This window comes from Homo sapiens, chromosome 10, assembly GCF_000001405.40.
Source record: "Homo sapiens chromosome 10, GRCh38.p14 Primary Assembly".
Taxonomy (NCBI): Eukaryota; Metazoa; Chordata; class Mammalia; order Primates; family Hominidae; genus Homo; species Homo sapiens.
The window spans coordinates 113990078-114005071 of NC_000010.11; the positions used below are offsets into that span (position 1 = coordinate 113990078).

At 45.0% G+C, this 14994-nt stretch overlaps 1 annotated feature.

Moving 5' to 3' along the window:
* Positions 7469-8027: an enhancer, noted in NCBI's record as "H3K27ac-H3K4me1 hESC enhancer chr10:115757305-115757863 (GRCh37/hg19 assembly coordinates)". NCBI's record gives its function as "activates a minimal SCP1, AML or CMV promoter by ChIP-STARR-seq in primed H9 embryonic stem cells {active_cell/tissue: H9 hESC(primed)}" and the evidence as "EXISTENCE:reporter gene assay evidence [ECO:0000049][PMID:30033119]".

Below are 14994 nucleotides of genomic sequence, written 5' to 3' on the forward strand. Positions count from 1 at the left end.
TAGTGGGGTCAGAAATAATGGATTTCAGAGTGTCTGAAATCCAGGCAAGCCCCAAGCTTTTTAAATAACTGCATAAGTGAAAGGCAGTGAGATGTGATAGAAAGAACTCAGTCTGTTGAGTCAGCTCTGCAGATGATCAGCTGCGTGACCTAGGACTTGTCACCTGATTGCTCTTGGAGCCTCAGTATCCCCCATCTATAAATGGAGATAGAAAGAACTCCTTGCAGATTTGTTGTGAAGAATAAACAAGGAAACAATCAGGCCTATTATAAATCATATCTCCTCTTGTGCAATATAAGGAGAGTAATTCCTTCCCAGGCCAAGGCCATACAACTTTGGTTCGAGAAAAAAATCAAATTCTATATTGGAACTCAGAGCTGCTCTTCTTACTAAAGGTAAAGGGTCTCGGAAACATGGCTCCCTCCTTGAAGGATGGGAATATTCTAGGGGACCAGGGTGCCTGCCAAGGGTGAGAATGAACATCAGCAGATCAGACCCAGTTACAGGAGCACAAACTGCAGCCTTGGGAAGAGCAGAGGGAAAAGAAAGGCTGTTTCTCTCCTGGTCACTGACATATGCCTCTTGTCCTGTCTCGGGTGTTCCATTGTCCTTATCCCATCATGACTCCGAACCATAGACATGGTGTTGGTAGACCCAGGTGGCCCGCAGTCCAGCAGCTTTGCACCACCCAGGAGCTTGTCAGAAATGCAGAATCTCAGGTCCCACCCTGGAGCTACTGGATTAAAATCTGCATTTGAACCAGATCCTCAGGGGATTCATGTGCCTGTGAGCTTGAGAAGCTCTCGTCTAGATCACATGTTGGTCAGAACCAAAGTTTTAGGTGGCTTCTTTGTTGTCAACCAGTGATTTTATTTTCATGCCTTTGGAAAATAGCAGTGAAAGCACAGCAGAAAATTCTAGAAGAAATGAAAGTAAAGCATATAGAATTTTAAAACACAGAATAAAGTCCAGTGGTTTCTGTCTCAGCCAGTTTCATGGGAGCCAGGGAAGGGTCTGGTTCTTCTCCCTGAGGCTGCTTTAAACTGCTTCCTTGCATTTTAGCACTTGGCAGGCTCAGAATCATTCTCTTCTGTACATGTTCTAAGCCTCTCTGCCCAACCACAATGATGAGAGCACAACTGCTGAAAACCATAATTGTGGCATGCGTGGCTCCTGTGGCTCCCCCATGCCTCATTCTGAGTCCATAGATGTGGTCACAAAACAGAAATTGGAATGCAATGCCGCGGCTTCTGTGGGTGTTCTGCGGTCTCAGCCTTGATCTCTCTGGGCCCCAGGTTATCTCTCGCCTCTTCTCCAGCTACCACCTGGATGGTGAATGTGTGTCCCCAGCACTGGCCACCAGCCCCTGGCCAGGGGCAGAGGCAGAACCAGAGTAGACGCTGGATGATGACTCCAAGACTTTACGGCTACTGTCCATGCAACTTGAATTTCCAGAGAGGTAAAATAGGATGTTGTTGGAGTGGGGCCTAGGCATTTTCTGGGGCTTTCCACAGTCCGCATGTGGCTGTCTGCCTCAGCTGCGTGAGTTCAGGGAACTTGTCAGTCCTGTCCACTCTTGTATCTGTAGTACCCACTAGAATGTCTGGCATATAAGAGACACTTACTATGTACCTGAACCTAGATCACAGTGCAACAAAGAACCTGCATGATCTTAGACCAAAAGAGCGCGATATGGCTTAGTGAGAAATAAAGCTAATACCCAATCTGTTGATGGGGGCCTCTGCTGCCTTCTAGAAGAATGGCATAATTCCTCTCTGCTGCAGACTGTTGCTTCTTTCTTTCATTCTTGAGGATAAAAGTATCCTTATTGGTTTTGTGAGCCAGGTGGAGGAGGGAGGAGAGGCCTGTGAACATAGTCTGCCTGGGGAAGGGTGAGATCAGAAAGCTTGGAAGCAGGCTTGGTGCGGTGGCTGATGCCTGTAATCCCAACACTTTGGGAGGCCAAGACTGGAGAATGGCTTGAGCCCAGGAGTTTGAGTTTAGTTGTAGTTAGCTGTGGATCGTACCACTGCACTCCAGCTTAGGTGATAAAGCGAGACCCTGTCTCAAAAAATAAAAAGAAAATTTAAAAAAGGAAAAAGCTCAGAAGCAAAATAAAGTGTGAGGAATGTAAAGATTTGGGGGCAGTCTAGCAGAGACGAATGGGATAGCCAGGGAGGCTAGAGAAAATGGGAGAAAACCTGGGAACAGCAAGACCCGTTCCCAGGAACAAAAGGGGACTAGTACCACTTCAGGAGACCGAGGTCCTGGGAGGGAAAAGCACACAGAGGTCACCGCAGCGTCATGTTCTGTTGCAACTCCGCCCCATCTCCCCCAGGCCATCAGTAAAGTCGGCCAAGTGCCACAGTCTTGTAGCGGGGTGTCTTGTGGAAAGCAAGCTGCATTCGACATTTGGGTGGGTGAGAGAGAGAGGCAGGCAGAGAGAGGGGTCCAGGAAGGCAAGCTGTCGAGTGAGGAAACCCAATCAGGGAAGTTGCTGAGGCAAGGACTGGGAGAAGAACGCAAGGCTCCAGCAGGAATCTGCAGAAATCTGGGAGTGGATGCAAGCTGGCTCCTGGATGCGGGATGGGGCTGGGAGCCAGTGAGCGTCGCACTGATGGGGAGGAGGGAGCCTGAAGGCTGGAAGATTTCGAGACACCTGGTTGCTGTTACATGGGTTACATAAGGCTCTGCCCAATTTATGGAGCCACCTCTGGCTCTGGGGGGAGTCAATCTTTAGCCTGTGGAAGCTGCCAGCACATGACTGAGTCTTAGTCACGATGTTGTAAAACCTCTCTGGAGATTCCTGGACAAAAGTGAGAATTGTCACTATTCAATGACAAATGAACCGGGATAACCAGGGTTGGATGACCTCCACCAGTGGCCTGGGCTGCTTCCCATGACAGCAAAGCCCTCCCTACTTAAAGGGACAGAGGTGCCAATCACCCGACAGTCCTTCTGATGTGAAAGCCCACTCACTCTGGAGAAGGGCCCTTTTCTAAGAAACCCACCTAAGTTGACCTCTGAGGCTCTATGGCAAAAAAAAAAAAAAAAAAAAAAAAAAAAAAAAAAAAAAAAAAAATCATAGTGGTGTAGTGAGGACAAATAAATGATCTTATTACTTGGAGAAAACTATTTTAGAGAAAAATTATACTTAAAAAAACCAGATGGTTCCTTTGTTTCCGATAGTTGCCTATAAATTCTCTATTTTTCTGGTCTGTGGGATTGAAATTGATTGAAACTGACATTTTTGGGGTTTTTTTGTTTTTTTTTTTAGCATGAGTCAGTTGACAAGAAAATTGAAAAAACAAAACAACCAGTGCCAACAGGGCTTGTTTTTTTCTCTTTATTTCTTTCCAAAAATCTATGTCCAGAGGTTCTGATAAGCCTAAAAAAAAAAAAAGAAAAAGAAAAAAGAAAAGAGAAGGAAGTCAATGATCTGTTTTTAGAAGCCTCTAGCAGTTCCCTTTCTGAAGCTGCTGTGCAGATTTGTGCACACATTTTATCCAGCTGCCATACATCTGGAATCTTGGAGTTGTCCCTCTGGCTCTCCATGAAAAACAGCAAAAAACCCCACACCACTGGCTTTCTGACCCATGTGGTTTCATAGCCTTTTCCAGGAGGTAAAATCCAGACTTGAGCTATGGAAAATTGCTTCTCTTGGCTTGAAAGTCACAGTTTAGCAAGTGGTGTGTTTCAGGGAAACTGGTGGGCCTGAAGATTAGTTTGTATTTGCTGCCTCCTGGGGCTCCCAATCAGCCACTTGGCTCCCAGAGTCACCAGTCTCCGTGTTGCAAGGCTCACCAGGGGCGAGGAAGAATGCGGCACAAATGTTACTGAGAACAGCCTTCCTGTCTGGATGTTTTCTGCCTTCTGCAGTTCCTCCAAGTCACCATCACATATACAGAAAGGCCGGTGGCTGACATTCGTGTCTTCTACTGACCACAAAGTGCCTCCTGTCCCAGAGATCTGGAGGTGGCCACACTTTGGTACAGCTATATGTCACTTCTTTCCCCAGCCACATGACCCACCCGAGATGCTTCACGCCAGCTGTGCTGATGAACATGAAGAAAGAGGCTACAGGGACTGGTAGAAAACCCACTGACTGATGAACTATGCTTGACCCATTTCTCCAAACACAACGTACATATGGGAGAAAGGCCACCGGGCTCTGAATGCAGTGGATCAGCTTAGTAAACAGTCTCTTTCCCACCCCTTCATAGAAATGAGTCCCCAAGGATGGTGAATTTTCCATATATGACTTTTAGAAATAGGGTAGAATTTGGGGTGGGGGTGGGGACAATAATGAATAGATTTAAATCAATAAATACCATATATATGGTCTGTCTTCGTTCCAATGTACAATCCTGAGGTCCACAGCATTTTGCTGATCATTAAAGTGCTTTGGAGAATGGTGCTTTCTTAGATGCACCATTCTCCAAAGTCCATGAGAAAAGTCAATGGAATCCCAGCCCCAAGCTTCAAACAGTGTTTATGCATTAGCACAGATGCCAGCCCCACATTCCCCGTGCAAACCTGCCTAACTCTACCTACTATGAACCCCTGTAGCATTCACCATCTGGGTGTCTCATTTTGCATGGAACATTTGATGGCTCTTAAAAATAATAATACCAACCTTTCTAGGTGTTCTTTGTATTTTTTCAACTCTTTTATAAGTCCCTGAAAGACAAATCTGTGCCCTTTGTATCCCCAGCATCAAGTTTAAGGCCCTCCCTATAGAAGGTTTCAAAATACTTTAATGATGCAGAGTCTCATGTATAAGCAGATATATGGCTCACTCCAAGTGAGGATAAGTATCCTGCAGTAGGAAATGACAAGGACAGTAGTTCAATTCAGCAAACATTGTTGATGTCTTCTTGGGGTCTTAGCTAAAAGAGACTGTAACAGAGAGGAGCTCCCAATTCCAAAGATAAATGTCATTGTGCTGGGCATTTGACCATTGTCAATGTGAGCTATAGTCATGGACGCAGGGAGTGGAGAAAATCTGAGAAGCCACAGTAATCAAGGTTTTAAAGGTGTAGACTTGCCATGGGTTATGGAGAGAAATAGGCTGGTGTGCTGGAGCCAGCTGTTAAATGCTCAAGAAAATTGCTAGAATTTTGAGAGCCAGTTGTTAAACCATTGAAATTGACTTAACTTGAAATTGGCTGTTGATAAAGTATTTGCACCATGGAAATCGGCTATTACTACAAATCAGAGCTCCTCCCCAACCTCATCCCACCCACATAGCTGGTTTGCCAGACCACTGCTAGCCTCCAACCATCTGTGCTCAGGCAAGGGTAACTTTTGACCAAAAGCTTCCAGCTGACTGTGACCTTAAATGGTCTTATTACACAAAGCAATGGTCTCTGCCAACAACTGCCTATGGTTCAAGGAGCAAAAGTTGAACTTTACCTGGAGCTAAGTGTGCTGAGAATCTTTGATCACTTCTTGCCCCCCTCAGCTAATCTGCCCACAGACATTGCTTATAGTCGCAGCTTTTCTTATAAAGAGCTACAACATGCATGCGAATGTAATATGCAACTTGAATTTGTAAATCTCTTTCACTATGAACTCTCAGAGCATTGCATGTGAATTAGATCAACCATTGTTCCCAATAGTGGCTCCCTGATGGGAAAGAAGCAGAACCAAGAATCAGATAGATGTCTGGGGTATTTGCATGACACTTTCTTCTTGGATTTTTGCTGCCTTTATTTGCTATCTATCTACAGTATTTCTCTGGTTGACCTTATCTAGTCCCTTGGCATTAAATTCCATGGTACACTGATGGTGCCCAAATGCAGCTATGATTTCTCCCCTGGGCTTCAGACTCATCCAACTTCTTCCTTGATGTCTCCACTGGGATGTCCAATGAGCGTGTTGGAAACATTACATCAGCTCATGTCACTCCTCTGCCTCCAGTGGCTTCCCATCTCACCCCAAATACAGATCCATGAGATGGTCTGTTCTACACCCAACCCCACCCCATCACTCCTCAGGCCTCCTCTCCTGCGGCCCTTCCCCTTGAGGCTGGTCTCCTTGCTGTCTACCAAGGACAGGCTCTGCCATAGATGAACTTGGCATGCCATCTCCCTGGGAAGTTCTCTCACCAAATGTCCTCCCTCACCTCCTCCAAGGTTAAACGGGCCTTCCTTGCCCACTGAACTTAAAATTACAACCTTCTTCACCCTCTCCCCTTTCCTTATCCCCTCCTCTTGTCCTCCTACTGATGCTCCTGTTTGTCATTCTCTCCTCCCCTGCAATGTAATCTCCTGAGGGCAAGAATTTTAGTCTGGCTTGTTCACCTATGTATCCCCAAGACCAAGTGCTGTTCCCAGCACAGAGGAGGGGCTCAGTAAATATGTGTTGAGTGAGTGAATGAAAATCTCAGTTTCTGTGCTTAAGCTTGCTTCTCTTCCAGTCTTCATCTCTGCTAATGGATTCACCGTTTCACATAGGAGCTCAGGATAAAACCCTGAGCTATCTTCATCCTCTACATCTAAAATGTTGGCAGTGCTGATAGCTCAGCCATCAGAGTAGATGCTGGATCTCATCACCGGCCTCCCCTTCTCTGCAATCACCATAGACCAAGCCACCCTCATCCCAGCTGGACAACTGCAACCACTTCCTACCTGGATTTCCTGCTTCTAGGCTCACCTGTCTCCCATATACCCCCCACACATTACCAGAGTTATCTTTTAAAAATATCAAACACAACACTTGACTCCTCTGCCAAAAACCTCCCAAAGGCTTCTCAGTACACTTAGTATAAAATCTATGCTACCTGACTTGGCAGCCGCTGACTTCTCCAGGCTCTTCCCTGACACCCTAACAGTTTCCCTATTTTCTTTGCTTTTGCCATGTTGGTTCTCTCACTCCACAGTGTGTATTAAAGGCCCACAATGTGGCAGGGCTGTTCTAGGTGTTTGGGATATATCATGGAACAAAACAGGAACATGTTTATACCCTTGCGGAGCTTCCATTCTACTGGTGAGAAATAAATAACAAGCAATAGACATGATATCAATTAATTATGTAGCATGTAAGAAGGTGATGAGTGCTGTGGAAAATAAAGTGAAATTAATGAGGACTGCAAGTGTTGAGCTGGGGCTATGGGAGGGCAGGCTATAGTATTAAACAGATCGGCACCGAGGATGCAAGACACAAGCAAAGACGAGGGCGCTGGGCCACCCGGGGCATCTTGCTGTTCCTAGAGCAAGCTGGGGTGGGCTCCTGCTGTGTCCACTCAGCAAAGCTGGAGCTCCATTTCTATTCCCCTCCCTGCACGGTTCCAGGTTGGTGTGGCCCACAGGGGATATTGTGCTCAAGATTTGGAAGACAGAAACGCAGCAGCAGCCTTCTTCTTTTTGCGAGGAAGGTCGTTGCAGGGCTCCAGGTGCTGTTGCAGCTCGCGCACGCTGAGACTCCCCCACTGGCTCATGCTGTTGGCCAGCAGCTGGGCCACGGCTCCTCTGGTTCCCACAGGATCACTTCCTTCAGCTCCTGTGGCTCCTGGCCAGGTGCACACTCAGCCCCTAGACCAAGTGCACCGAGGGTGGAGGCTTGAAGGCATTGAGGAACCAGTGAGGTTGGAGCTCATCCCTGTCCTCACTTCCCTCACTTCTCTCCCCACGTGCCTGCCCTGCTGACTTCAGAGGCAAAAACAACAGCCTCACATGGACTAGCTGATCAGCTCCCACAGCTCACCATCTGGCTAACCTGTGAACTAACTCACTCATTCACTCACTAAATAAATGGACTTTCATAGTGATTTGATATAGGGATAATATTTGTTTTATTATACTTACTATATACAGAATGGATGGCTTCTTATCATTTAATCTATGGTCATATGTCACCCCTTATAAAAATCTTATCTAAGTATCTAAAATAAAAGCCTCTGCAATCACCACATGCCTTCTTACCTGTTTTATTTTCTTTATGGCATACATTACCCATGAGATATATATTTTCTTTTAGTTTATTTGATTACTTGTTAATTGGCCCCATCCTATTCATTGCTCTCTTACCAGTGCTTAGAACACAGCCTGCACATGGTAAGAATTCGAAAAGTAATGATCAAATAAATGTGTTCAATGTCTTTTTTTGGCCGGGTGTGGTGGCTCACGCCTCTAATCCTGGCACTTTGGGAGGCTGAGGTGGGCGGAACACGAGGTCAGGAGTTCAAGACCAGCCTGGCCAACATGGTGAAACCCCATCTCTACTAAAAATGCAAAAATTAGCTGGGCATGGTGGCGCATGCCTGTAATCCCAGCTACTGAGGAGGCTGAGGCAGGAGAATCGCTTGAACCCAGGAGGTGGAGGTTACAGTGAGCTGAGATCATGCCACTGTGCCCCAGCCTGGGCCACAGAGCAAGACTCTGTCTCAAAAAAAAAAAAAAAAAAAAAAGTCTTTTATTTGAGTGGCTGTCAACAGGTTTCTGAATACCTAAATAAACTAAAATGGTTTCAATTGCAGACGTTTTGAATGCAAATCTCACAACAGCATAATGGAAAACTCTAGCATTTTATTCATAAAATCTATAAATGGAAATCAAACCATTTTTATGGATTACAATAGTCAAAATTACTTTTTATCAACAGACAAATTTTAAAAGCGCAACCAAACCAAAAGCAAACCTTTTATTGTATCATACCATTCATTTTGCATGCAAAAAAGTTTCCTGTTTTTCTTAGTAATAAGTACTGAAATAATCACAAGATACCGCTTCTGTTAGTAAATTACACTCAACTCCAGGAACATCTGAGTAAAAGCCAATGTTTGATACTATCTGGCTAGCAGGAAATTGAACTAAAGTTTTTTCCTACCAAGAAAATATAGGGCCAGGCATGGTGGCCCATGTCTGGAATCCCAACACTTTGGGAGGCCAAAGTGGGAGGATCACTTTAGCCTAGGAGTTTGAGACCAGCCTGGGCAACATAGGAAGACTCCATCTCTACAAAAAATAAAGAGTTAACTGGGCATGGTGGTGCATGCCCATAGTCTCAGCTACTCAGGAGACTGAGGTGGGAAGACGTCTTGAGCCAGGGAGCCACTCTGGGTGCCACAGTGGGACCCTGTCTCAAATAATAAATAAATACATATTTTAAAGACACAAGATTAGAAGATTCTTTAAGTTATACTAAAGCAGAACAGTGCTTTAAAACACATGTCTACGTTTAACATTTTAACGATTTCAAACCAAAGAAGCTTCCAAATCAAAACTTCTTTTGCCAATTCTGCAATAGAATGGGGGTAATTTTTGCCCAGTAACCCATTTCAATTGTCATTAATCATTCCTTCTGTACATTAGGCTGATGTTTGGCCACTTTGCTCTTCTTTCCTTTAGAGTCTGTGCTGGGAGCATCTCACTCCACTATAGATCTGCACTAGGAGAACCCAGTGTTTTCTTACTGTGGCCTCTCTCTTCAGTTCCCTCCTAGACATATTTGTTTGTTCATTCATGCATTCAACCAATATGAATTGATCCTCTCCTGTGTTCCAGAGGCTGGTTGAGTTTCAAGGTTCTTTCCTTGGAAGAGCTCCTTGCTTTTCGGGCCCATAAATGTTGCACCATTGACCCCAAGCAGTAAGTCGAGCCCTTGCTTGGTTTCCTGGGCGTTGGCACAGAGATCTTCTGGGGCGTAAACACTTCCTGCTACTATTCCTGCAATTCTCAGCCGCTAATTTCTATTTGTCCTTGGTTAAGTGCTCTTCCTTCCCATTTTTGTCCCTGCCCTTTTAAAATCTGAGAGCATCAGAGAATTTCCTATGCAGTCCCTGGTTTTATTAGTTCCCTTCCCCTTTTCTTCCACAGCAGAATCACTTGCAATGGCAGATATAGAGTGACATTTCAGAGAGCATCCCAACTCTCTTGAGATATCATTCATCTGAAAGTCCCTGAACGTAACATCTGGCCTATCTCTCCTCTGATCTTCGGGAAATCTGCTTCTCTAAGCCTAGAATGCATGTTTAACTATAAAACTTTCCCCATTCTCAGTTATCATGAGCTCAAAAACTAATTTTGGGTCCAAGCAGCCATGGATTTGAATCCTAACTCCATACTTATTGGCAATATCACCTCACCAAGACATTTGTACCTGAGTTTTCTCAAATTTACAAAAGGGAACTAACTACTCCAAAGACTGTATTTTCCAAAGGTGGCCACATGAGTAAATATATATATGTGTGTGTTTCATCCTATAGGCTTCTCCTACAATGTGATATTGACCCTCCTCTATCTAGGCAAGAAGGATGCTATGCAACTTCTAATACTGAACCAGAAAAGGCAACAGAGCTGCTGCCTGGTTCTCTCTCAGGACATGTACCTCTGGAATAGGGTTGCAAGGTTTAGCAATTAAGAATACAGGACCCTCATTTAAATTTAAATTTTAGAAAAACAACAAATAATTTTGCAGTATATCACAAACATTGCGTGGGTCATACTGAAAAATTTTCTATCATTTCTCTGAAATTTAGTCTTTAATTGGGTGTATTTTATCTGGCAACTCCACTTTGGAGACCAGAACCACAATGTCAGCAGTTTGGCTATACCCTGAGGTTACTAGCTCTTCCGCTTCCTCAATGTTGGAGTGTTCCCAGCCCAAGCACCAGACATTTGCACTAAGAAGCCTTCAGGAACCAGCGCATCTCCAGCTCTCTCCGATTCTCCTCTCTCTGTCTTAGAAAGACCCTTGTGATTACATGGGGTCCACTCAGATAATTCAGGATAATCTCTCCATCTCGAGGTCCTTAACTTGACCACATCTGCAAAGTGTTTTTTGGCCACGTAAAGTAACATGTTCACATGTTCCAAGGATTAGAAAGTGTGATGACTTATGTTTAGAAAGAAGAAGAGAATCAGCCAGAATCTAATCCCACTCTGTCTGCAGTCTCAGGATTCTTGCCTTCAGGATTAAATCTGTCTGTGTTTTATAGTGAGAAAGACACAAGACACCCATCTGTGATAGAGACTGTTAGCTTTCACCAAACCCATTTCCTCTTCTTCCTAGGCAGCATCCAGACAGCATATCTCAGACCACCTTGCCACTGGCTGTGGCCTGCGACTGAGGTCACCAGTGGAATGTGAGTAGGTGATGTGGCCACATCCAACTTGCCTTCCCCCAAATCTCTTGTGTATGTGACTGCATATGTTCTTTACCCTTCCATTGGTTTGATGCAGATAATTTTGACAACCTTGGAAGCCGTATGCTGGGGACACCAAAAAATGGGAGGAGCCTGGGTCCCTGAATCCTTGCTTGGGGGAGAATTGCCAGCCAATCAAGAACACCTGTTTTGGACTTTATGCCACCAAAAAACTTCTATTGCATTGAGCAATTGTACATTTTGGAGTCGTTTATCACAGTAGCTGGCATTATTTTGAGGTGGCACACCATGCAATTTCCAAATATTTTGGGTAAGCATAACCTGTTTTGCAGACAGGCACACCATGTAGGAAGTTGATTGGAGTTTTAGATTTCACTACGAACACAGCAGGTTTTATAAACATGCCTAGAAGAATGGATCTTTGCGGATTTTCCTGGCTCAGCCCAATTAAAGCCACTGCTGATGCAACAAACCCTGTTCTCGGTGCATTACATAACTTATATTAACAAAAACAGCACCGTTTTCATATTTTCACTGTGGTCTAAATCTGAATGAGGAAATCATTTAATTCTCTTTGACTTTGTCAAAACACAGTTTCTCTGGACACAATCATCCAAACATTCTTTGGTGTCCAAGAGAAACACCAATACACTTGTCTCCCCACCTAAGATTGGGGTGACCAATCATCTCAGTTTGCCCGAGATTGAAGGGGTTCCTGGAATGTGAGACTTTCTGTTTTAAAAGGGGGACAGTCCCAGGCCAATGGGTGAGAGTTAGTGCAACATACTACACTGCTAGAGTCAAGTAGCAGTGCCTCCAGCACATAACATCTAGCACATACATTACAAAGAAGAGAGACTTTTTCCTTCTTCTACCAAGAAAGGCACAATCTCAATTTAGGAAGTAAGTTCCCTTAAGGCACCACTGACTGGGAATATTTGAGTGTTGGATTCATCCAATGGTTGTATCCAGGCCCTCACAAAGGCCAAAGGAGAATGAAGTTGGACTGGCTGAAGATGTGTTCCCAGCTTTCCCTTTCGCACAGCAAAGCAGGCAGGTCGCTCTGAATACTATGACAACAGGCTCCAGGCAGGATGATAGTGCTGCAGAGGGCTGATGGGTACAGATGGCAGCCAGGAGGGCTCTATTACAGGAGCAGCAGCTGTCTGGGAGGGGAGGGGTGGGCACTGAGCATGCCTGCCTGCTCTTCCGCCTGGGGTCTCCATGTCACCTAACTCGAGCACTTGTCACTGGATTGGCCCATGTGGCAGCTCCTGAAAAATCGGACTCCTAACTCATCTGTGTGGTACCTACCCCACAGGGCTGTGCATCCCTCCTCAAGGCCTCTGAGTCTCATGTCTTTAAGAGTAACTTACGGGAGAGAAAAAAAGCTAACCGTGTTGCCCTGATAAAAATCACAACAGGCCACATGAGGTACTGCAGTGTGTCCCAACGCCCCATCTTCTCTATGTGAGTGATGTACAAGAGAGAAAAAAGCTAAAAGTATTTTGCCCTGATGAAAATCAGAAGAGGCCACGCAAGGTACTGCTGTGTGTCCCAGCATCCCATCTTCTCAATGCTGCTGTCGCCATTTTGGTCATGTCCCAACACTCCCTATGCTATTTTTTTTTTTTTTTTTTGAGATGGGGTTTCACTCTGTTCCCCAGGCTGGAGTGCAGTGGTGCGATCTCGGCTCACTGCAACCTCCACCTCCCAGGTTCAGGTGATTCTCATGCCTCAGCCTCTCAGTAGCTGAGATTACAGGTATGCACCACCACTCCCGGCTAATTTTTGTATCTTTAGTAGAGACGGAGTTTCACCATGTTGGCCAGGCTGGTCTCGAACTCCTGACCTCAAGTGATCTGCCCACTTCAGCCTCCCAAAGTGCTGGGATTACAGGTATGAGCCACCGTGCTTGGTTCCCTACTCTATTATTAACCCAATTTTTTTTTTTTTTCAGACAGGGTCTCACTCTGTAGCCCAGGCTGGTCTCTGACTCCCAGACTCAAGAGATCCTCCCCACTCCACTTCCCCAGTAGCTGGGATTACAGGCGCACACCGCCACGCCCAGCTCCGGATTTCTCTTTATATTTCCTCACTTTGTAAACTCAGTTCTATTTTTTAAAAGAAATTGCATATCATCAACATAAATGAAAAACCAGTATCACTTGGCAGAAACATAACAGTCATAAAAAATTAAGTACCATGAAAGCAAAGGAGTATTATTAGATTCCTGCTTGACGTAATTTCAGATGGAAGGCTCCAAGTCTGAAGCCTGCTCTGTCTTGAATAAAAAGAGACAGTAGCAGAAGTTAAGAGATGCTATCGACATACTCATACCACATGGAGACTTTCTCCTTATTAACTGAAAAAGAATTGAAAAAGAATAGTGTTCTCACTCTGAAATTCACTGTTATTTAACCTGTGTTTTGTGCCACCGAAAGTCATCTCACAGTCAGTGGGTAATCTGATTTCACTTTAAATGTATTATCTCCAGTGGTCCTCAACATAGCCTGATAGTTTAATTCTTTCTCTTTCTAGTAAGCATATTTTCCCACTGAACAAGATACTATTCCCAAACATTTTCTCTCTTTCTACACCCCAGTTGTCAACTGCTAATCTTGCCTCACATATATTTTAAAAAATAAAAACATAGCCAGGCACGATGACTCATGCCTGTAATCTCAGCACTTTGGGATGCTGAGGCGGGTGGATCATCTGGGGTCAGGAGTTTGAGACCAGCCTGGCCAACATGGTTAAGCCCCATCTCTAATAAAGATACAAAAAATTAGCTGGACTTGGTGATGCGTGCCTGTAATCTCAGCTACTTGGGAGGCTGAGGCAGGAGAATCACTTGAACCTGGGAGGCAGAGGTTGCAGTGAGCCGAGATTGCACCACTGCCCTCCAGCCTGGGCGAGAAAGTGAGACTCCGTCTCAAAAAAAAAAAAAACACAACAAAAATTAGCCAGAAGTAACTTAAATCTGTGTGCCTGTTTGCATTGATTTGAACCTTCTCCATCCTGTCTTCTCTTACCACTGAGCAAGCGTCCATCTGCCTATCAACAGCCAAACTCTACCAACAGCCAACGGGTATCCTGGATCACCCATTCTCCCTGCCTCCTCTAGGGCTTTGCTACTATGACCATCTCCCTCCCTTCCTTCTTCCAAATTAGTGCGTAAGTATATTCATACCTGTAATCTTTCTTTTTTTTTTTTTTTTGAGATGGAGTCTCACTCCATCACTAGGCTGGAGTGCAGTGGCACGATCTCGGCTCGCTGTGACCTCCGCCTCCCAGATTCAAGTGATTCTCCTGCCTGAGCCTCCTAAGTAGCTGGGACTATAGGTGCGCACCACCACGCCCGGCTAATTTTTTGTATTTTTAGTAGAGATGGGGTTTCGCCATGTTGGCATACCTCTAATCTTAAAGAAAACCTCCCTTTGTGTCCTTTTTCTGCTACGTCTTTATTTATCTGCTCCTCTCATCCAAACTTCTCAGAGGAATTGTTCCCGTGCTCACTGTATCTGTCTCCTTTCCACTCCTTAACCCACCACAATCCAGCTCTTACTCTTCTCACTTTGTCATTCCACTGAAACTGTGCTGGTCAAGACCTCTAGCTTCTTACCCTCCCCTGAAGACACTCTTTTTTCTTGGCTTCTGTGGCATCCACATTCTTGGCTTTCCTTCTGCTCTATGTCTACCTCTCCCGAGTTTCTTTTGCAAGACCCTTTTCCTCCATTCAACTTTCAAATGTTGGAGTCCACCAAAGCTTAGCCTTGAGCCCTCTCTCTATTCTCTCTCTAGGGGACCTTAGAATTCCCACAGGTGTAAGTATCAGCCATAGGCCATAAATGCCCAAATTTGCTTCTCCTGCCTGAGCTGAACCT